Source organism: Homo sapiens, chromosome 15, assembly GCF_000001405.40.
Source record: "Homo sapiens chromosome 15, GRCh38.p14 Primary Assembly".
NCBI lineage: Eukaryota > Metazoa > Chordata > Mammalia > Primates > Hominidae > Homo > Homo sapiens.
In genome coordinates, this window is record NC_000015.10 from 51,360,851 (window position 1) to 51,384,617 (window position 23,767).

Genomic DNA, 23,767 nt, shown 5'->3' on the forward strand with positions numbered 1-23,767 from the left:
AGAGGGCTGAGCAGGAAGTAGGTTGAGAAAACACTCTTACAGATGTTTTTGCTCTGTACAAGGGATGCCACAGGGCAGCATTTGGAGATAATGGTCTTAATTCTTTTGTCCATTCCTCCCAACATCAGACGACTTGGTTAACTATGATTTCTGACTATTGGATGAATGTAAGAATGCTTAGATAAAAATCAGAAAGTATCTGAAGTTGTTTTTGAAGGGAACAATGTGAGTACAAAATATTGCTGTTGGCGGTTACTGAAAGATGATTCCAGCAGTACTCCTGCTTAGAAACTCCATTAGAGGCCTGGGGAAGACAAGTGATTCTCAGCTCACTTCAAAACACTCATCCCTTCCTACCCTAACTTCTTCTGCACTTATTTGTGTCATACAACTCAAACTTTGGTTTTCTACAATTTTGGCCTCTAATTTGTCACCTTTAGTCACCTTATCTCTTTAAATATGTCTCATGGTTTTTTGCTATGCCTCTACTGAAGTATTTGATGAATACCTCTTGACTATAGACTGATCCATGACTTGAATAGTGCATATATAAATTTGGGTATCTGCCAGTTTCTGAACCTGGTTTCTTGCCATACTAAGAGTTTTAGAGGTGGGTCCTAGAACATTAAAAAAATCCCATCCTAGGAATTCGTGCTACTCACCAAATAGGAGATGACATCAGGTATGGGTAAGACTGACTTAGAGAACTGCTCTACCAATCAAAGATTCATTCATTCAATATGTAGTCACTGAGCACCTATTATATCCAAGGCACTATTGTAGGTACTCAAGAAACAGCGTGAACAAAACATATATATATCCCTGTTCTCTTGAGGTTTATGTTCTGGCAGGGAGGAGACAAAAACCAAAGCAAATAAGTAATTTATCTATAGTGGTAGAAGGTTGATAAGTGCTATGAAGAACAATAAAGTGGTTGGGCGTGATTGCGCATGCTTGTAATTCCAGCTACTCAGGAGGCTGAGATAGGAGATTTGCTTGAACCCCAGGAGGCAGAGGTTGCAGTGAGCCAAGATCATGCCACTGCACTCCAGCCTGGGCAACAGAGCAAGACTCCATCTAAAAAACAAAAAGAACAATAAAGCAGAGAGGAGGATTAGGGAGGGGTAATAGGAAGCTGTAATTATAAGTAGTGTGGCTGGGGAAGCCTGACTGAGGAGGCAACATTTGAGCAGAGACTTGAAGGAGATCAGAGAATGAGCCATGTGGATATGTGGGGAAAGGGCCATTTGGGCAGAGGGAATAGCAAGTGCAAAGGCCCCGAGTTGAGAGAGCTCAGGGAAGGAGACTGGAGCAAAGTGAGTGGGAAGAAGAGTAATAACAAAGGAGGTCAGGGCCGGGCATGGTGGCTCATGCCTGTAATCCCAGAACTTTGGGAGTAGAAGGCGGGCGGATCACCTGAGGTCAGGAGTTCGAGACCAGACTGACCAACTTGGAGAAACTCCGTCTCTACCAAATATATACAAATTAGCTCAGCATGGTGGTGCATGCCTGTAATCCCAGCTACTTGGGAGGGTGAGGCAGGAGAATCGCTTGAACCAGGGAGGCAGACGTTGCAGTGAGCTGAGATTGTGCCACTGCACTTCAGCCTGGGTGACAGAGCGAGACTCTGTCTTAAAAAAAAAAAAAAAAAAAAAGAAAGAAAGGATGTCAGAAAGATGATTGGGTTGGGTGGGGGAAGGAGGGACAAGAGACCAGTTCATGTAGAGCCTTGAAAGCTATTGTAAGGACATTGGCTTTTATGGGGAATCTTTGGAGGGTTTGGGGAAGAAGAGTGACATGATCTCACCTGAATTCTCAGTGAATCACTCTGACTTCTCAATGATGAGAATCTGGCTTCTCAATGATGAGAATAGACTTTGTGGGTGGGCAAGTTAGGTCGTGGAAGTAGGGGGGCTATTTATATAGCCATTGCAATAATCCAGGTGAAAGATGATAGTGGCTTAGACCAAGTGAAAGCAGTGGAGATGATAAGTGGATGGGGTAAAGATATGTCTGATAGTTGAGCTGATAAAATTTTCTGACAGTTTAAATGTGATGTGAGTTGAGCTGATAAAATTTTCTGACAGTTTTAATGTGATGTGAGAGGGGAAAAAAATAGAGGAATTGAAGGACTTCAAGGTTAGTGGCTGAGCAATGGGAAGGAAAGATTTGCCATTAACTGAGATGGCAAAACTGCAGATAGAACAGGTTTAGGGGGAAGATGAAGAGTTCAGTTTTGAATGTTGTTACATTGAGATGTTCATTAGATGTCCAAGGGAAGATGTCATCAAGAAGTAGCTGCATACTTGGGTCTGGGAGGGGGTGCCAGCTGGAGGCATAGTCAGGAAATCATGGAGATGCTAAGCATGATATTATTCATTACTTGGACTTAGGGAGGCTTCATCAAGAGTCTGTCTATTCCTTATGAAACCCAGACTGTTATTTTTTCAAGTCCTTTATAAACAACAAAATTCAATCAATCAACTGTATTGTGAGCCTTTTGTGCCCACAGATTTTGCCTTATTTTTAAAAGCATAGGGCTCGGCTTATCATGTGTTTGCTGATGAAAACATCGGTACTTCTAAATCAGTGAAAAATATCTTGGAAAGAAGCTTAAAAGAAGCCTTTTCGCAACCAAGTAAAATGTAAATCAATATAACAAACACTCAGCGCCTGTTATGGGCATGTGGGTGCACACTGTGGGTGCTGAGGAACAACAAGAAAGGAACCCTCAAGGAATTCACAGGCGAGTGGGAGGGAAAAGAAAAATCCTCAAACACTTACGACACAAGCAATAGATAATAGGACCCTAAGAGGGATATGAATAAAGCCCAGTGGGCGATCAGGAAGCGTTTCGAGAAGGAGGCAGCATACCAGTCAAATCTTGAAGGATGGGAGAGGGGAATGCCCTTGAAGAGCAGGTGGTTCATTTTAGCTTGAGCACGATACAGGTAGATGCAAAGATGTCCAAAGATTCTTTATTTTACCTTTGCTTTTGAAAATTATTTGGACTATAGAATTCTAGACAGAAAATGTTTTTCTTTCAGCACTTAAAAATGTTACTCTACTATCTTCTCACTTGCATTGTCTCCATTGAAGAAGGCTGCTGTTATCCTTAGCTGTGTTTCTCTCTGTGGAATGTGCCATTTTTCCTTTGGCTGCCTTTAAGATTTTCTCTTCATCATATGTTTTAAACAGTTGTATGTCATTTTCTTCATGTTTCTTGTCTCTGGAGCTTCTTTAGCTTGTTGAATCTATGGGTTTATAGTTTTAATTGAATTTTGGAATTTTTTTTGCCATTGGTACTTCAGAAAAGTTTCCGTCCTCCCTGCCAGCACTGGACTCTAATTACACGGGTATTGGGCTACTTGAAGTTGTCTCATAGCTCACGAATACTCTGCTCACTTTTAAAAAGCATTTCTTCTCCATGTGTTTCATTTTGGATAGTTTCTACTGCTATATCTTCAAGTTCACTAACCTTTCATCTGCAATGTCTAATTTGCCCTTAGTCCTATCCAAAATAAGCCCTGTACTTATTTTTTCTTTAGAGACAGGCTCTCGCTCTGTCACCCAGACTGGAGTGTAATGGCACAATCATAGCTCACTGCAGCCTTGAACTCCTGGGCTCAAGTCATCCTTCTGCTTTGGCCTCCCAAAGTGCTGGGATTACAGGTGCGAGTCACTGCACCTGGCCTGGTTTACTTTTCATATCAGACATTGTAGTTTTCATTTTTAGAGTTTGAGTTGGGTGGTTTTTATATCATTTATATTTCTGTTTAGCATGTTCAATCTTTCCTCTAGCTTCTTGAACATACGAAAATGGTTAATAAAAATAGCCATTTTATTGTCTTTGTCTACTAATTTTTTTGTATCATTTCTGAGTGGGTTTCAATTAATTGATTTTTCTCCCTCATTATTGGTTGTGTTTTCTTGCTTCTTCAAAGATCTGGTAATTATTATTGACTGTTAGACATTGTGAATTTTACCTTGTTGGGTGCTATAGCTCAGTGAGGCACCCTTTAATTACCAAGGGGAAGAAATAGCCTTGAGTAAGTTCCACATGGCTGACCATACCAGAAACTACACATTCTAACCTCATGCCAAAAATGTCCTACTGTTTATTTAGCAGTCAAATAAGAATTCAAAGCACAAAAACAACAGAAGATAAATACAAGTGTGAAGCTGGTACTTCAACAAATGGCTCTAAAATTGGAGAATCAGCAGCCTGGAATTAAGCCAGACTAGCTGGGAAAAGTATTAGAGTCTTGGTAGTTCAAAGGTGTTTTTTAAAGAGGAGAGCCCAACTCTTGATGGATTGGACCACTGACACCAAGAAGGGGCTGCAGGTGTTTGATTATGGTGACAGTAATTTTTAAAAAATATGTTCATTTGTTATTTAAATTTTTTTCATTGTATGAGATTTTTTCATTAATTTTCTTTATTTTTAATTGGAGCTTTTAATCTTTTCTTTACTAATTTGCAAGTGCTCTTTATATAGGAAAGTTATTAATTTTTTGTGTATAATACACGTTTCCATATTTTTCCTGTAATAACAATTATAATGTTTATTGAGAATGTACAACATGCCAGGTGTTATGGTAACAGCATTAGGTATGTGTTTCAAAAAGGTCTTTATCTTATCCTGATAATAACTCTGTGAGGCAGTCATTATTATTATTATCATCATTATCATTATTCCCATTTTACAGACAGGTCATCGAGGTTTGGAGAGGTTGAACATCCTGTGCAAGGTCACACAGCCAGTGAGTGGACGAGCTAGAATTCAGAGTATGTCTGACTCCCAAGTCCACGATATTTACACTACACCTTTGGCCTCAGGTGTTGTCTACATTTTGTTTATGGGCATTTTGGGAACGGATTGGACGTTTTTCATTTTCATGCAGTCAAATCCGTAAAATCTTTCATTCTTGGGTTCTTCTTCTGCTTTTATGTATAGAATGTTCTTTCCTACCTCAAGATCTCAAGATCAGGTAAATATTCACCTGCATTTTCTCATAAATACGTACAATTTCAGTTGAAAGCTATCCTGTTACATTTGTATGTGTTTAAAACAGAGATAAAAAGAGCCTGTCCCCTTTAAGAAACAATTGTCCAGAATAAGTTGCAGGACTCACAAATAGGCAATTCGCTACCAAACAACTTCTTAAAAATAAAGTAAGGGCAAGGATGTGAGATTAGTAAATGGATTTACAGATGCTTCTTTTTTTATGACTGGGGAAGAACTGTCTCAGGGTCAGCTGCAGTAGTTAAGGAGATAGAACGTCAAGTTGTCACTGTGTGTGTGTCTGTTTCTGACCGGGGAGAAGAACAATCCAAACACAGCCATATTGGGAGAACACGGTCGGAGGCCACCTTTGGGAGTGGCTCAGGATTTCTGGTTCTGGAACTGGGTCAGCCAGTTCATGCAAGAAGGAGGCCTTGCTGCTGGCAGCTACCATCTAACCAGGCAACTGAGGGAAAAGCACAAGGACTTGTCATTACTGAGTGGCGGTTGCTTGAACTGAAGACTGGGCAAGGCTGAAAACCTGGGGCTTGATAGAGCCTGTAGGGCTCCAGGTGGGAAAAGGGAAAGGTTTAGGAAGGTGGTTATAATGACCAATGACAACTTACAATTAGTGCATTAAGGCACTTATCCGTTTACACCTGGTTGTTTCTATAAGTCTTAGTAAGATTTATTCAGATTACATTTTGAATTCAGTTGTCAAACTGAGCTGGTGATTAGACTTTCATGAATATCTTTATTAAAATAGCATGAATTCAAATAAGCGAGGTGGCTCACACCTGTAATCCCAGGACTGTGGGAGGCTGACGCAGGATTATTTGAGCCCAGGTGTTTGAGATCAGTCTGGGCATCATAGGCAGACCCCCATCTCTACATTAAATTTAAAAACTAGCCAGGCATGGTGGCACGTGACTGTGGTCCCAGCCACTCAGGAGAATTGCTTTAGCCTGGGAGGTCGGGGCTGCCACTGCACTCCAGCCTGGACAACAGAGTAAGACCCTGTCTGAAAAAAAAAAAGTATGAATTGAGGATTTTTCAGAAAGCAGAATTAATTGATTGACATTTAAATCATGACCAAATGTGTTTCGATAACAGTACAAACATGCAAAGAGTGTTTTTATAAGGACTTCTTAATTTAATCCTCATAGCCACTCCTTGGGTAAATACTGTCACCTTTCCTATTGCATTTCCTATTTCATCAGAGAGGCTGGGAACCTGTCCAGGATCTTGCTGTGGTTAGTAAGAAGAACCTCCTAGGCCATCTGCGGCCTCTGCTGGCTTATCCAGCCTTCCCCTTGACCTGGGGTTGGATCCTGAAGAAGAACACCTGGTGGGGGAAATCCTCCTTCGGGGACTTCAGGCATGCATTTTCAGATGTTCCCAATGCTAATCATTGTCACATGGAGTTTTTCTCCAAAGCCCTGATTTCAACTGAAAGTCATTTTGCCAGAGACATTGGCGTGCAGGCGTTTGCTGGAACTGCCCCTTCCAAATGAGATTGCTGAGGAATCCTGAGCAGAGCCCCAGCTCCTGTGACTGCCGTAGCCCTTGCGTGCAAGAGGGCTGGCCAGGGCTTGTGGGTGGACTTCAAACCAACACTTGGTAATTATTTGTTTAAGATTTTATTAGAGAATCAGGGCAATGATGGAGGCGGAGCGGGAAGGAGCACTGCTAGAGGTTCCACCCAGTCTCCACCAATTCAGTGCAGCTTTGCAGACTCGATTCAGCAAAACAAATGACTCGAGAATAAGCCCTACCCCTTGAAAGGCAGGCTGGCGTCCATCCCCATCCTAATCCACTTAGCAAAGCAGGAAGATCTAGTGAATACTATGGTTTCCCCATTGCATTGCATTTTCAGTGATGTCTTAGCCTCCTTTACATATCAGCACCCCAGTGTCAGCCTGGCTGACCCAGCCCAGAGCAGCCCTGGGTGCAGCCACGCAAGTGCCCTGACTCAAGATAGTGTGAAAGGCTTGTGTATTATTGCCCTACAGACCAGGCCACATCAATGGTCTCTGGTTTTGCTGTGATGTTGATAGAGACAGGAAGGGGATAGCCATGTCTCAGGAACCCTAACTAGATAATCCTAGCATCTCCAAGGTCCTGTTTTCTAGGGATTATTGGAGTAGCTGCAAAAATAAAATTATCCTAAACAAGCAGGCACAAAGAGAAGCAGGTATCCCCATGAGAGATTTTCAGTTTCTGTAAACAAAGTGACTGCCTGTCTGAAAGGAATAATATCATTGCTTGGGGAGCACATTCCCTTCCCATTTGAGCAAGTAATCAATGCTGAAGTCTTTTTTGAGTACCTACTATGTGCTTGATGCCATTCTGGTGCTGAGAAAGGGAATGGATAAGTGAATGTGGCAAACAGAAAAAGGACAAAATAGCCTCTACTATTCAGAGTCTAGTTGAGAAGTCAGCGTAACAGCGAAAAAGTGAGCCAGTGACTGGCCACGCTGCTGGGCACAGAAACGGGCAGTCAGTAGGGACTGGGCTTTTTGGAAGGCTGAGAAAGATTCTGCTGGACTCTGCAGATCCCTGGCAGGATGAACTGATAGAACACTTGCCCCCCAGGCCGCTGATGTGGGATGGCAGAAGATGGCTGGACAGGCTCACTTGAGCTGTTAAATGCCTGCGGCCCAACACGAGCTGGGGCCTAGGAGTCACACCCCAGAATTTCACTGTCGTGTTTCCAAGCAGCTGCATACAAGATATAAAAATTAGGTCAAGTTAGGATTTTAAGAGTTTATTGTGCATACAAAGAAATGTTCATGAACTAAGAGACCTCAAACTGGAAAGTGGCAGAAAGTCTCAAATTTACAGCAGTTACAGCTCAGTTTCAAGAGCATAAAGGAGGAAGCGTTTTGGCCTGTTTCAGGATTGGATGTCATATATTCTTTCTTAAGGCATATGACTATGTAAGCTGATTTGCCTATATCCGTTGGTTTAATTTCATTGAATCATGCTGATAAGATGAAAAGCTTACTGAGTGTTCTGTTTATGTTGAAGGTTTATGTTTTGGGGGGCAGGGAATCAGTAAGAGCTAAGTTTTGGTTATGTGGCTATGAGTAATTGGCCTTGGGTACTAAACTGTGGCCTCCAGTTTTATTTATTTACATTTAACAAAGGCAAGACCCACATTCCCGTTGGTGTTTGCAGAGTGCCCTCACCAAGTCTTGGCCCCTGTGTGAATTCCTGCCTTTCCCAGAAATGAGTCCAGGGTGTCTGACCTCAGCTTCAGATCCCATGAAGGATTCTTCTAACATCTGCGATCTAACCCTCCAGTGACAAGCAGGTGGACCACCACATTCATAGCCCCATCTCCCCAGTCCAAGCAATCTCAGCCAATGGTAAGGTGAATTATCATCTCCTGGAGCTTTTTCTAACAGGATCATTTGCATGCATATAATAACAGCAGTTTGCATAATTAAGGAGAGTCATACAAAGTATTCAGTTTTCTAAGAGATATGGAATTTAAGTTACAAAATAGATCAGACCTGGAAGATGACTTAGCATTTAAACAGTGTTCCAGCCAGCAAACTGTAACCTGTGCTTGGAGAACTTCAGAGAAACCATGACAGGCCTCATTGTTTTAGTAACACACAAACCAGAGTAGCTGATGATAATGAGCAGGTTTGCTCTCTTACTTTTGTGTGAATTCATTCTGAGAGTAAAAGGTGAGAGAAAGGGAGTTCAAGAGAGCAGCCAGCCAAACACTGTGAGGTTTCGAGTTCCAATGAGCAGTAGCAGCTTACCACATTTAGCTCTATTCATTCTGATGAGAAAGACATGCTTTTGATTTAAGCCTTTTACCTACACACAGAAATTGGCACATTTTAAATTACACATCTATTAGTAAAAATTTAATATCCTGTTTATATGAAAAGTACACTAAAGCAAAAATCTGTGTTTCAAGTTGAATTCAGACAATTCCTTTTGCAAAGCCTGAGCAGTACAAAAAAGTAGCAGTAGCTCACGTCTATAATCCCAGCATTTTGGGAGGCCGACACAGGAGGATTACTTGAACCAAGGAGTTCAAGACCAGCCTAGATAACATAGAAAGATTCTATCACTACAAAAAGTAAATAAATTAGCCGGGCATGGTGCCGCATGTCTGTAGTCCCAGCTACTTGGGAGGCTGAGGCAGGAGGATCTCCTGAGCCTGGGAGGTTAAAGCTGTAGTGAGCCATGTTCATGTCACTGCACTCCAGCCTCAGTGACAGAGCAAGCCACTGTCTCCAAAAAAGAATAAAAAAGAAAGTAGATGAAGGGGAAATAGTCTCAGCTCTGGAAGCAAGCTAGGTGAGCCTAAACCAGCTACTCCCTGCCTTCTTTGGGCATCAGCTTTCTCATCCCTCCTCCCCACATCCTCTGAGTGTTTCTCACCACCTCTTACCCAGCATCCTCTGATGGGATCAGAGTCTGAAAATCATCTGTCATGTCCAACCCTCTCATTTTACAGACAAATAACTAAGGTCAACCCCACCTGTTTACCCAGGGCAGCTCCATTTTTATTTGCTTTATATTTTGGGATTTGGTGCTTATATAAGGAAAATAAAAGTCTTATGGCTAATGAACAATTTGAAAATCACTGGACTTTACAAGAGTTCTAGTTCATTCTGTTCATTTGCCTAGAAACAACAGAGATCTGTCCAAGTAATTTCAAGTGATGGGGGTAATCGTGAGAACATGATGTTTGGGTTCACACAACACTAACATGCTTTCCATTCTCTCTGGATTACTAAAAACACAGAAAAGTAAAAAAAAAAAAATCACTTATTATTCCAACATACCTTTACAACCATCTCAATTAAAAAGTGAGAAAAAAAAATCTGCCAGGTACAGTGGCTCACGCCTGTAATCCCAGCACTTTGGGAGGCTGAGGTGGGCAGATCACCTGAGGTCAGGAGTTCCAGACCAGCCTGGCCAACATGGTGAAATCTCATCTCTACTAAAAATACAAAAATTAGCTGGGTGTGGTGGTGTGCACCTATAGTCCTAGCTACTTGGAAGGCTGAGGCAGGAGAATTGCTTGAATCTGCCTCAAGCCGGAGGTTGCAGTAAATCAAGTTGGTGCCACTGCATTCCAGCATGGGCAACAGAGTGAGACTCCATCTCAAAAAATAAAAAATTAAAAAAAAAAACCTATCCCCTTCTTATTCCCTAGTCTCAGTCTCTAGGGGGAAGAATATCAGTTGTTTGGTTTCATGAACCTCCCAGCTTTTTTGTGTACTTATACAAAAACATCTAGGGATTATTTATCAACCAAAAAGTTGTGTTGCATTATGTGGCTTGGGCTGCATTTTGCTTTCGTCACTTAACACCATGCCAAGGCTGTCTTTCCAATAGTACATATAGATCTATGTCATCCTTTAAAATTTGTTCAACAAGACCCTTATTGACAAACCTTTGCATGTTCTGCCACACAGTGTTGCATTGAGCATTTTTGTCCAGATATCCTTGTATACTCTTCCAAGTGGGATTCCTAATTTGTAGCATTTTCTTTTTAACAGATACTGCCAAGTTATGTCCCATCTCTGTTTAGTTTGAATTAAAACAAGCTCAAGCCATCTGATGCCAGGTCAGCAAGAAGTCTGTTCTTTTTCTCCTGGGGCCTCTTCCTTGGCCAAGATCCCCAAGAGTTCTGCTAATCCAATGAGAATAGTTCCCTTTTCAGAGAAAAAAACTGGAAAAGCTGGTCAGGCTGCCAGTAGGGCCCATTTGGGCTATCTTTTCCCCTAACGCTATTGTATTAGTCCACTTTCTGTTTATTATAACAGAATACCTGAAACTGGATAATTTATAAGAAAAGAATTTTTTTTTCAAGATGGAGTCTCACTCTGTCACCCAGGCTGGAGTGCAGTGGCTCGATCTCAGCTCACTGCAACCTCTGCCTCATGGGTTCAAGCGAGTCTCCTGCCTCAGCCTCCCAAGTAGCTGGGATTACAGAAGCATGGCACAATACCCAGCTAATTTTTTTCTATTTTTAGTAGAGACAAGGTTTCCCCATATTGGCCAGGCTGGTCTTGAACTCCTGACCTCAGGTGATCCACCCACCCTGGCCTCCCAAAGTGTTGGGACTATAGGCATGAGCCGCCGCGCCTGGCCAGGAATTTATCTTTTACAGTGATAGAGACTGAGAAGTCTAGGGTTGATGGGCTGCATCTCGTGACAGCCTTCTTGTTGGTGAGGATTCTCTGAAGAGTCCCAAGTGAGACAGAGCATCACATAGCAAGGGATTGAAGTGTGCTCACTCAGGACTCTCTTCCTCTTCACATGAAGCCACCAGTTCCACTACCATGATAACCCATTAATCCATGAATGGATTAATCCATTCTTGAGGGCAGAGCCCTCATGATCCAATAACCTCTTAAAAGGCCCCCTTTCTCAATACTGCCACATTCAGGATCAAGTTTCAACATGAGTTTTGGAAGGGACACTCAAACCATAGCAGCTACCAAACGTTCAATGCTGAAAACAAGTCGCCATGCAATGTAATATGTCCCTGTCCGTTGCTGCATTGATCTTCCCACCTGGGAGATGAACCTGATGGGCCCCATTGTTTCTTCTGGGAGATAATTCTCACTCCTCAGTGATGCTTACAGCCAACAGGGCATTCATCCTGAGCTCTCGGGGCTACTGCTTATTATTTTGCACTCAGGTTGACAGCCCATCGTTCCCACTAAGTCTGTCCTCCATGCTAGCGTGGCTGGGTTGGACTTTTTCCTGTGCTTCACCCACCCTCTCCCCAGCACCACCAGATTCTCATATCATGAACTGATTAGCAATTTATTGTCATCTTCTCTCAGAGAAACTCTTCCTTAGAGACGGTTGATGTGCTTTCCCACTTGAACCACTTCTCAGCAGAGAAGTTCCAGGCCTGGGACCGGGCACTATTCTAGACACAGGGTACCTTAGTCTCTTTTGTGCTGCTATAATGGAAAACCACAGATAGGGTAATTTATAATGAGCAGAAATTTATTTCTCATAATTCTGGAGGCTGGGAAGTCCAAGATTGAGGTACCAGAATCTAGTGAGGGCCTTCTTCCTGCATCATTCCACAGCAGAAGACAAAAGGGCAAGAGAGTGAACTCAAGCCCCCTTATAATCAGCATTAATTCATTCATGAGGGTGGAGTTCTGCAGACCTAAATGTCCTCCTTTAGGCCCCACCTCCCAACACTGTTATGTTGGGGATTATGTTTCCAACACATGCATTTGGGAGGACATATTCAAATCATAGTACAGGAGATGCAGACAAAACAAAGAAGTTTTTCTGCTCTCAAAATGCTTCCTTTCTCTGGGGAGCAGGAGTAGGTAATAAATATGTAAGCAAGATAATACAGTCATTCCTCAGTATCTGTGGGGGATTGGGTCCAGGACACCTGTGAATACCAAAATCCGCACACACTCAAGTTCCTGACGCTGGTCTTGTGGAACCCAAGTATATGAAAAGTCAGCCACCCATTTCTGAGAGTTTCGCATCCCTCAAATACTGTATTTTCAATCCATGTTTGGTTGCGGATGCAGAACCTGTGTATATGGATAACTGACTATATTTACTGATAAAAGTTCGTGTACAAGTGGACCCACACAGTGCAAACCTGTATCATTCAAGGTCAACTGTACTGAATAATGATAAGTGCTACAAAGACAAAAGGCCAGATGAGGTGATGGGGAGTGGCTGTCTGGGCTCCCTTCAGTTGAGAGACAGGAAAGCCTGACTTGAGGCATCAGTGAAGCTCACCATGTAAAGATGTGTGGCACAGCACGCTAGGCAAGGCCAAGACCAGCGACGAGGCCAGTGCGACTGGAGCAGAGTGACAGTGATGGGCAGGGAGGGGGAGAGCACTGGGAGATGCCCTACAAGGTGCGGGGGCAGGGCCACAACATGGATGGGTCATGCCTAGTACCCCCAGGACAATGACCTCTAAGGACTCTTCCAGCTTCAACCTTCTCAAGACCTCCCTCAAGACTTAAGAGGCCCTTAATGCAAAATATGACTCCTTAATTTGACCATCTAGATTTTGTGACTTTCAATTGGGAGTTTTCTTATTTTGATTCCAATTTTTAATCATTATGACCAGAAAAAAGTTTCTAACTTTATGGCCACACCTTTTCATATCATATATTTCATCTCAATACAATCTTATATACACAGCCCAATTTCGTTAAAAGACTATTCTTGAGTAAAGATTAACATAATTTACTGGTAAATATCTCAATTGACATTTAGCATACAAATGAAATCAAAAGGTCAGGAAATGAAAACTGCTTCATAGTTTTTACAGAAGCTGCACCTGCCCCAGATCAGTGATTAGTACCAAACAGAAAGGCTAATTTTCCCTATTGTTGCTTCTGTTGTTTCCAACCACCCCTTCTGCTGTGATCCCCCAGGCAACAAATGAAGCCATTGTGAAGTCTTTTCTGGTCCTCTCAATGGGCAATTACACATTTTTTAAGACAATAAATTTTGTTCCTAGTGCAGCTGATTACATTCATTTATGAAAATGACTAAAGGCAGTGAATCAATTTTTTTTCTGTCTGGTGATGTTAAGATAATCACCAGAGCCATAATAGAAAGTAGAGTGGACCTGGAATCAGGAAACCTGGAGTTCAGTCCCATTTCTTCTACCAGCAAGCTGTGTGATTTTGAGTAAATGATGGCATCTCTCTAAGCCTCTATTTTCTTATCTGAATTAAATGGATAAGTGTACTCCAACTCAGAGAGCTATTGGGGGTGAGGGGACATCCAGAAGTCTTCCAAGGCATTGGTAAACTTCCATTTCATTTCATATATATGTGTTTGTCATATTATTCATCGTTAAATTATCTGTACACATTTCTTTTCTTTCTTTTCCTTTTTTTTTTTTTTTTTTTGAGACAGGGTGTTGCTCTGTCACCCAGGCTGGAGTGCAGTGGTGGGATCACTGTTCACTGCAGCCTCAGCCTCCAGGGTTCAAACAATCCTCCCACCTCAGCCTCCTAAGTAGCTGGGATTATATATGCATGCCACTATATCCAGCTAATTTTTAATTTTTTCATGGAGAAAGGGTCTTACTATGTTACCCAGGCTGGTTGGGCTGAAATCAATCTTCCCACCTTGGCCTACCAAAGCACTGGGATTACAGACATGATCCACCACACCAGGCCCACATTTTCTACATGTGTGATATGTATGAATATTTCACAATAAGTTTCTAAAGCAGGCAATAAATAGCTGTTGACATACTTGACAAAAAGTAAATACAATATAAGTTTTCCTCTGGATCTCCTAACAGAATAAATCTAGATACAATACAAAAATTATTTTCCCCTCACATCAAAACATGGCATTTTGAAAAATAGTTTAATGGAAAGAGTAATCAGTGAAATTTTTGAAAAAGACAATGATTGTATCATGTTTAGTACAGCTCCCTTCCACCCTGGCCCTCCATTTTCCCCTCACTTGAGGTTTTCTAAATCTACACAAATATTCTGGAAAGATAAAGAGATTATCTTAAAAGCAGCAAGAGACAAACACATAGAAGCATTTCTGTGTGCAGCACTGTTTTACATGAACAAAAGTATGTTATATGTGCTGCTCTATATTTGCATTTTTTCATTTATCTTAGAGATCTTTCAGTAGCAGCCTATGAATTTAGCACAGTCAGATTTGTTTTTTCTGAAGCTCGCTGGAGCAGTGTGGAGAATGGGAAGGGGTATACGGTGGGTGTGAGGCAGCCAGATGTTTTCCTTATTCCCATTGGTTTTGAAAACGTCAGGCTAATGCCATGCTGCAGTGACCACCTGCCACAGGTGGTCATCCAGTGGGGAGTGTCCACATGGCATGAGAATCACTGCCACCCAGGGGCAGTTTCCACGTGCCAGGGACTGAGCAGGTGCATTCCTCAAGGCCAGGTGCTTATATTATTCAGAGGAGGAGATCAGAGTTCCAAGAGGTTAAGTACTTCATCTGTGTTCACCCAGTTAATAGGTGCTTCCTCCCAACCACTAGGCTCACCACCCCTTTTATTCAGGCCCAAAAATTGAGCCCTTCAGATGCTGTGGGGGCTGGCTCATTATGGTGGTGAAAGTTGGATTTGGCAATTCCCTCGTCATCCTCTGTCAGAATTCCATAGAAATTCAAGGAAATTCTCTTGATGATGTTGATAGATAAGCTGCTGATAGCGAATATTCTTAGATCTTTTAAGGGTTTCTTTCAAGTGTTATGTTAACTACAGTCATATGTCATGTAACCACATGGATACATTCTAAGAAATACGTCATTAGGCAATTTTGTTGTGTAAACATCATGGTGTGTACTTGCAGGAAACTAGATGCCATAGCCTACAACACACCTCAGCTATGTGGAAAAGCCTATTGCTCCTAGGCTACAAACCTGTACAACATGTTACAGTACTGAATGCTGTAGGCAACTGTAACACAGTGGTAAATATTTGTGTATCTAAACATAGGAAAGGTACCATAAAACAACAGTATAAAAGATTTAAAATGGCTCACCTGTATAGGACACTTACCATGAATGGAGCTACAGAACTGGGGTAGCTCTGGGTGAGTCAGTGAGTGAGTGGTGAGTGAATGTGGAGGCCCAGGACATGACTGTACACCACTGTAGACTCTATAAACACTGTACACTTAGGCTACACCAAATTTATTTTAAAATATTTTCTTTCTTCAACAAATTAACCTTAGCTTACTGTGACATGTTTACTTTATAAAATTTTAATGTCTTTTACTTTTTGACTTGTAATAACACAACACAAACACATTGTACAGATCTACAAAAATACTTTATATCCTTATTATGTAAGCTTTTTCCTATTTTTAAAATTTGGTGTTTTTTGTTTGTTTACTTTTTAAGCTTTTTTGTTAAAAATGAAGACACAAACTCACACATTAGCCTAGGCCTACACAGGGTCAGGATCATCAATATCACTGTGTTCCATCTCCACATCTTGTCCTATTGGAGGGTCTCCAGGGGCAATAACATGCATGGAGCTGTGACAACAGTGCCTTCCTCTGGAATACCTCCTGAAGACCTGCCTAAGGCTGTTTTACAGTTAACTTTTTTCTTCTAAGTAGAAGGAGTACAGTCTATAATAACAATACAAAATATGGTGATGTCAAGATGTCAGCTGGAAACTTTTTAAAAAGATTTTAAAAAGGATAACATAGTAAATGCACAAAGCAGTAATAGTCATTTATTATCAATTATTATGTACTATACATAATTGTACGTGCTATGCTTTTTACAATCTGCAGTGTGGTAGGTTTGTTTATACCAGCATCACCACAAACACGAAGTCATGCATTGCACCAAGACACTACCCCGTGACTGGACAAATGAGGTTTGCAGCTCCATTGTAATCTTATGAAATCACCATTGTGTATGATTCGTTGTTGACTGCAGCATCACTAGGTGGGACATCACTGCGTTTTCCTTGAACTTCCGCGGGTTCTCCTAAAGTTACTTGGTGACTTTTTATGATTGCTTTCTGCTCGTCTGAATAAAGGATGAGCCCAGGGCCTGCTGCCCACTGTCTGCTCTGATGACCCTCTCTCCCCTGCAGATCCGAGTGATGGTGGACCTGTGCAACAGCACCAAGGGCATCTGCCTCACAGGTAGGCTGGCCGCTGAGCAGAGCCGCTCACACAACAAGGACTTGTGCCGCTGAAGGCCCGTGGCAGAATGAACGCCTAGGGACACTTTGTTATAAAAATACATGTTGGTTTACTTTTACCAGATGTTTTTAATGAGCTGAAAACCCATTGTAATATGATTATGAAAAATAATATTTTCAGTATTGCCATAGAAATATAGCCATGGAAAATAACTAGGACTTGGGTAATTAGAAACGTGTGGTACCTTGAACCAGAGCCACAGATTATTTTCTTATTCCCATTAGTTTTTAAAAGGGGAAAGAAAGGAAGGGAAAAGACCTTGCTAATTAATACAGTTCTTTTATCAGAAGTACTTATTGGCCAGATTGGCCAGGTGTGGTGGCCCAAACTAGATGTTGCGGAGTGCTAGAGCAGTCCCCTCTGACTTTAAAACATTACCATGAGACCTTGAAGCCACCTGAAGCTTTTGCTGGATCTCTCAGTTGATGGTCCCAGTCTCTGGGGAGGCCGGGCTAGAGCTTCTCAGGGTTAAGGAACCCTGCACAGTTTGCATCAGGTTGTAGGAAGCCTAGCCTTTTTCCCCAATATTTCCCCCACCTCCCTCTCATTACCTGCCTTGCATTAGGAGTGCAATGTGAGTTTGCTGAGTGAATAAACCTGTGAGTATATGGGTATGTGAATGGAGGTGAGATGGTAAGAAAGAAACTCCCCTCAGGAACCCCACATCCAAGTCTGACTCTCTTTCACTTATTTTGGCCTCAGAGAGAAAAACTATAATTCTGTGACTTCTTGGGAAATGCTAATTGAATAACTCAAGTCATATTCCGGCCCTCACTGAAAATTAAAGATCTTCAGAACAGCTTGGTCCTTTACTCTGAAACTCTTGTAGCTTAAGCATCTTTCTTCCATCTCTTGAAGTCCTTTTTCAGAGTTACATGCGACAGTAATGAGTGCTAGAGAAATGGATGGATGGAATTACAGGCACAAAAGCCTGTTGAGAGGCACAGGAAAAGCCTCTTCCTTTTTGATTTTTTTAATATAGACCTGAGAGCCAGGCTGTACAGTGAATGCATGGGACGGAGCTATTGAGACCACTTAGGAGAGATTGGCAGAGAGTGGGGAACGACGTCTGCACTGGAAGTGGGTTGAGTAGGTTTTTCTTTAGCACTTTGAAGTGCTTTTCAAAAGACAGCACCTTCTCCTTTCATGCCAGCTTGAAATTGGGCCTCCTTTTGCACAGAAAGTTCTTCAATTAAAATTAGATGTGAAAAGTACAAGTTGCAAAGTGAGAGGATCCTTTGGGATAGACCACGAGGCCTGGATTGGGGGCAGGGTAGTGGGCAGCAAGGTGAGTGACAGGACCCAGGAATGAACTGGGTAGCTTCAGAGGGTGGACACAGAGCATTGGTCTCGAGCCCTAAGAGGATGCCTGGCAGGAAGATGTGCCAGAGCAGAACCTGGGCTTGGGGACTGGGAACAAGGTTTAGCTTCCCACTGGATTCATCTTTGAAAAAGCAGGCACTCATAACTTGAGGCTAGTCCAGCTGTGACCAGGTAACCTGGCTCCCATTCCTCTTCCTTGCCCAGCTGTTGCTGCTACGGCAGTCAGGACAGATGCTATGTGATTCTGTGCAACCTTTAACATCTCAGTTGGATCGTGAGGGTAATCCCCTAGCTAGAGTAATTAGTTATTCTGCTAGTACAGAGTTTGTCAAACAACACATGCTTTTCTGAATGCATCTTACTCTGGAGCCCAGATTTCCTTGGGGACCCAGAAGCATATCTTCTGGGAGAGCAGGCATCTTGAAGAAGCCATGTTATTGGGTTATTCTTCACTCACTGCATCCTCTTCGTGTGTATCTGTTAGAAAATATCTAAATCATCATGTTACTGAACTGCGTATTGGGGCAGAAGCACTACACATTCTCCTTGCAGCCAAGTGACCCTAATCCAGTTATGATACGTGTCTCTAGTCTCTTATTCTATGCCTAGGCAAATATCAATCACGGATCAATGCTGCTGAGCACAGCCTCATAGCATTCTTTTCTGCTGTTCCAGAAAGCCAGCACTAATTGACTGGAACTGGCACTTCTCTCTGCAGACTGATTTGTTTTTGGTGTTCATGGCCATCACAGACCTCAAGTTTACATAACTGGGGCATTGTGAGCCAATTTTAGATTTCAAGGGAAAAAATATCTAAGTGGCTCAGCTCTTATCAAGCATCCACCCAATTTTAATCGATTCTGGTTAGGAGTGTGGGATGGGTACAGTTAGCATGAGCTACATAATTTGCAGGGCCCAGTGCAAAATGAAAATGCAGGGTTTCTTGTCCAAAAGAAGCAGGAAAAAGGCTTTCTTCTTTCTTCCACAGTCTTGACCTGTTTTGGTGTGAGTTTTTATCTGCTACCTAATGTCATACTCCATGAAGCATAGAATACTTATGGGGCAAGTACAGACCCTCACAGGCACCAGGGATCCTTCCCTGTGACTCAGGCACGCAGGGCACCACTCAGCCCCACCTTTCCTGCACTTGTGCCCCAGCCCCTACCAGAGTGGAAGGTGGCAGAAGTTACTGATGGGGCAAGGAGTACAGAGGACACATCATGGGGCAAGGGAGCAGGTGGCAGTTCCTAGGAAGGTGGTGGGAGTTGGGACCCCACCAAGCCCCCTGTGCATACTTTATTGACCCATTGGACTTCACTTACACAAATTCAAAGACAAGATCACTGGGAATTTCTAGACGGCGACTGCAGAGCATTAAGCCCACACCTGAAGCCCCCTTGTGAGGTGAAACCCTATGCACCTGCATGGGTGGTAGGCCCAGGACACCAGCCCTGCATGCACTATTAGCATGATCATGGATGTCTGCACATATTCCTTGAGGATGTGCTATTCAAGAAAGGGAGAAGGGTCAGGAGCTGAGAAACAGTTTTCTAAACACCCAGTTGGCACACATCATGGCATTTGACATTATTTGACACATGTGGGAGCTCTTCCAGATGTCAGGCCCCTGGAGAGCCAGGCTGGCATTCTGAGAGGACGGAGGACATCCCGCCATCACCATAACTCCCTATGCCTCAGCACATTTTATGTCTGCCCGGACTGCTGAGCTCTCTGGGGCTGTCTTCCTTTCTCTTCTGAAATTCTCTCCTCATCTAGCTGCGGGGAATTAGACCTGCTGGATTTCCTCCTCCAAGTGTCTTCTGACAACTCTCTCTTTCCTGGTGCCTCTTCTCTCACTTGCCTCTCCCCAGGTGGGGTGTGGCCCTCCCGCTCTTCCATCCCCAATTCTAGCCTAGACTTTTTACTCTTGCCTTAAGACTAGCAGCTCTGGACCTTTTTAGGATCAAGAACCCCTCTAAGGATCTGCTGATGGTGACTGATTCTTTTCCCAGAAAATTTTCACACCACATCAGAGGGCCCATGACCACCTCCATTCCAGTCATCTATGATGCTCGGATAAAAATGCAGATTATTGGGCCTCACTCTAAATCCAAACTGAATTAGGAACCCCAGATGGGGCCTGGGTATCTGCATTTACTAGGCATTGCAGGCGATTCTGTGGATTCATATGAGAGGAACTCTATCCATAGGGCATCAGTGGAACTCTTGCAGGACACCCTAATCTAATCACCACAGTGAGAGCCTTGGCCACGGCTAACGTGTCCTGAATATACAGCTTCAGCCGGGAGCTCTCACCAACAGTACTGATGCATGGACGTGGTTATCAGACTGTCGTGAGAACTTTTGAAACCTACTGTGTACAGGCAAGTCTTGTGTCTTACAGTCAAATTATTCTTTCCACCAGTCTCTATATCCGAATTTGGCTCCCTCTGTCGTCGCGAACGATGATTAATTGATTTCCTCTGACCTCTGTTAACTGGCCACCTCACCCCCTTCCCAGTACGTGTTCGCCATCTGGTGGTAAAGTCATGGAGACACAGGCTGTACTGACCCTAGAGAATGTGGTACCATTTTAGCCAGCCATTTTTGCCCAGAGTAGGACTGTTATGTATTGAAAGCATATCCTCAAACACCTATTTCTCCCAAAAGTCCCCACGCCTGTCAAAATAGCCTCTATCCATCTGTATTGCAGGCCCCCTGTTATCTGAATGTCCTCCTCCTTTGCCTCCTACCCAATCAGATGTGGATTCTTGCTCATTCTGCTGAAATACCTCTTGAATGTCTAGCTTTCTCTACAATTCTACAGTCAGCTCATTTATCCACAAGCTTGTCACTGAGTTGACAGCTACAAAGATCCCCTAGGGTTTTTTTTTTTTCTGCAATGCCCATCCTCCATGTCTCTCTTCCTGTCTCTGTGTCACTGTCTCTCTCGTCTTGTTGCACCTAGTTCTATCCATCTACCAACGACAAAGAGGCTATCAAACCCACACTGCTTTCACAGCATCATCCCCCTGCCTAAGAACCTCCCATGGCTCCCTCCTGCCTCACAGATACCATCTACACCTCCTGGTTTGACATTCAAGTGCTTCTGCCACCCACCATACCCAGGTCCTTCTTCAGCCTCATCTCTACACACTTGGCCAGTCCTCTAACTTCCTCCCACCCTGAATCTTATAAGTCCCCACCTCTGTACCTTTACTCCTGGTGGCCCCTTCATGGAATGCCAGACCTCATCTGCTGCCATCTTAAGCCCCGTTTCTTCAATGTCGTGGCTCCAGGATCATCTTCTTGAGATGCCTTCTCAGACCACTGCATGCCCACACTTCCCCAGTACCCCTTGTCAGGGGTATGGGAGTGGAGACTTCACTGTAGCTCTCTCATACTGCATTATGGTTTCAAAGAGTCCATCTTTCCCACGTAGACTGTGAACACAACAGGATACAGGCACCAAGATTTCTTGGTGGAGTTTGATGCACATAATAACTGCTTAGCAATGCTTGTTTTGTGAATGGTCACAGGCTTAGATTTATGGAAAGACCTCACCATTCCAATATTGGTAATCATTATATGTGGTCTAAAGAGGCGGGCAGATCACGAGTTCAGGAGATCGAGGCTATCTTGGCTAACACAGTGAAACCCTGTCTCTACTAAAAATACATAAAAAAAAAAAAATTAGCCGGGCGTGGTGGCGGGTGCCTGTAGTCCCAGCTACTCGGGAGGCTGAGGCAGGAGAATGGCATGAACCCAGGAGGCGGAGCTTGCAGTGAGCCGAGATGGTGCCACTGCACTCCAGCCTGGGTGACAGAGCAAGACTCTGTCTCCAAAAAAAAAAAAAAGAAAAGAAAAGAAACAAAAGGAACTCAAGTGCTCATGTTACAACCTCATTAGCTTGTCTGAGTACTCAAATAGAATAGTCGACAATAAGACACCCCTATTTGTGGGAGCAAAATTCATGTGAACCCCTTAGATCCTTGAGTAATTACATGCTAAGGAAGGTATTTGTTACCTGATCTGGGCTCTCAATTTTTCTCAGGCTATTTCATGTAACAAAAGAGAAATCTAGCCAGCCAGCTTTCACTCCCGACTCCCCCCAGTGGCTCAGATGAGACAAGCTAGCTAGATTACAGCACTTGGAGAACTCCTGGGACGGCCAAATCTCAGCCCCACAATGACAGCACCATCATTTGCTAACCCCCATGCTAGGGCTGCACTCATGGCCACCAGCATTGTTACTGGCCCTCCGTTTATTAGGTTGACTGCTTGAGAGATGACTAATTTATCAATCTAGAGTGAGGACAGCTCAGAAATTAATCTTGGTTCATTGAAACAAGCAAAAGTGGTTTGATTGGCAAATGGGTCTTTGTTGAATTGCTTTAAAGGGTCTTTTGGCCAAATATAACGAGTTCTAAATACAAGGTGTCAAATCCATTGCTTAGGGTCAGTAGATAATTAGGAGATTTGAAGGTCGGGGGTGCTCTTTGTTTTCTGGGTTCGGTGCTGGTTTCTCAACTAAATTTTTTTTCCGTTGTAGGACCTTCTGGACCACCAGGTAAGAGCCCATGGATTTTCTAGTTCAAGGGGAGGCTGTGGGTGGCCAGACCCTAGGATCTCCCTGTTGGGACAGATGCGGGGAGGGCAAGAGCCTGGAGGCAGTCCTGGCTGTGTGTCTCCTTCTTTGTGCCCCTCACCTGAGGCTCTGCCATCACCATCCCCCCACTTGGCACTGCTTCAGCCAGAGAAGGAAGGAAAGAAGTGGGAAAGGATGTGGAAAAGGAATTGATGCCTGCTCAGTTTCACTGGTAAAGGAAATGACAGTAACTTCAGTGAATAATTTTTTTTTTTTTTTTGGTTAATGTCCCTGTTTCTGTGTTTTGATGCAGGACCTCCGGGAGCCGGCGGGTTGCCAGGACACAACGGATTGGATGGACAGCCTGGTCCTCAGGGCCCAAAAGGAGAAAAAGGAGCAAATGGAAAAAGAGGAAAAATGGGTATTTTTGGCAACTCTTCTAATTAATTTCCCTGTTATTTATCTCCATGATTGCATTTGGGTCGACTAAAACTGTGTGCAGCAGGGGTAAGGTGTTTCATCTCTGCACAGTTTAAGGCCGGTTTAACTCTTACCTAGAAGCCATTGCGTTCCGGGATACCAAGGGTATACTTCTTGGTCCCACCTTGACAGATGTTTATTTCAAACTGGAGAAGCCGTCTCCTGGGAACTGACTCGCACCCTTCTGCTGCAGATGGGAGGTGGAAGGAGCAGGAGCCCACAGCCCTGGGAGGGGCATTCTGTGGGCCGTGTGACAGCTGGTGCTGGTGCATGCTCTTTCGAGGCTCAGCTCCTGCCTTGCCCTCTATTGCCTCCTCCTGCCCAGCGAATCTGTGTTTGGTTGAAAATCAATGAACTGATGTTGGCCCCTGGTAAGGCATTTCTTGGCTAGAGGAATAGCTCAAACTGCTTGAGTGGAAAGGCAGCATCCTGGCCTCCCTGTGGCCGGCACTCAGGTCAAAGGGTCTCCTCTTCAGGGGCTACAGGATAACTATGAAGATATGGCTGGCATCTCGGAGGAGCTTCCTTTGCCCTGTTATGAGCAGGCCATCACCACTGGAGAAAAGGCCCAGAAGCACCAAGGCACGAGATGTGCCCAGGGAGCAGTAAGAATCAGGGGCTGGTGCAGGGCCTGGCAGGAGGCTGGGGCACAAAGGGGAAGATTCT

The 23,767-nt window shown here is 43.5% G+C and overlaps 1 protein-coding gene across 11 annotated transcripts in view; it reads left to right on the forward strand.

Annotated features, from left to right (window-relative positions):
* The window catches only part of GLDN (gliomedin), a 71,711-nt gene that overhangs the window by 19,196 nt on the left and 28,748 nt on the right, over nucleotides 1-23,767 (forward strand). For 5 of the 11 annotated variants that reach the window (XM_017022125.1, NM_181789.4, XM_017022126.3 and 2 more), the window contains exons 2-4: nucleotides 16,599-16,650; nucleotides 22,586-22,603; nucleotides 22,935-23,042. In XM_017022125.1, coding sequence (XP_016877614.1) covers nucleotides 16,599-16,650; nucleotides 22,586-22,603; nucleotides 22,935-23,042 — 178 coding nt within the window. Of the gene's footprint in view, nucleotides 1-1,718; nucleotides 8,377-16,410; nucleotides 16,503-16,598; nucleotides 16,651-22,585; nucleotides 22,604-22,934; nucleotides 23,043-23,767 lie in introns of those variants that run through there. The other 6 variants (XM_011521501.3, XM_047432431.1, NM_001330297.2 and 3 more) reach the window with 6 other exon arrangements.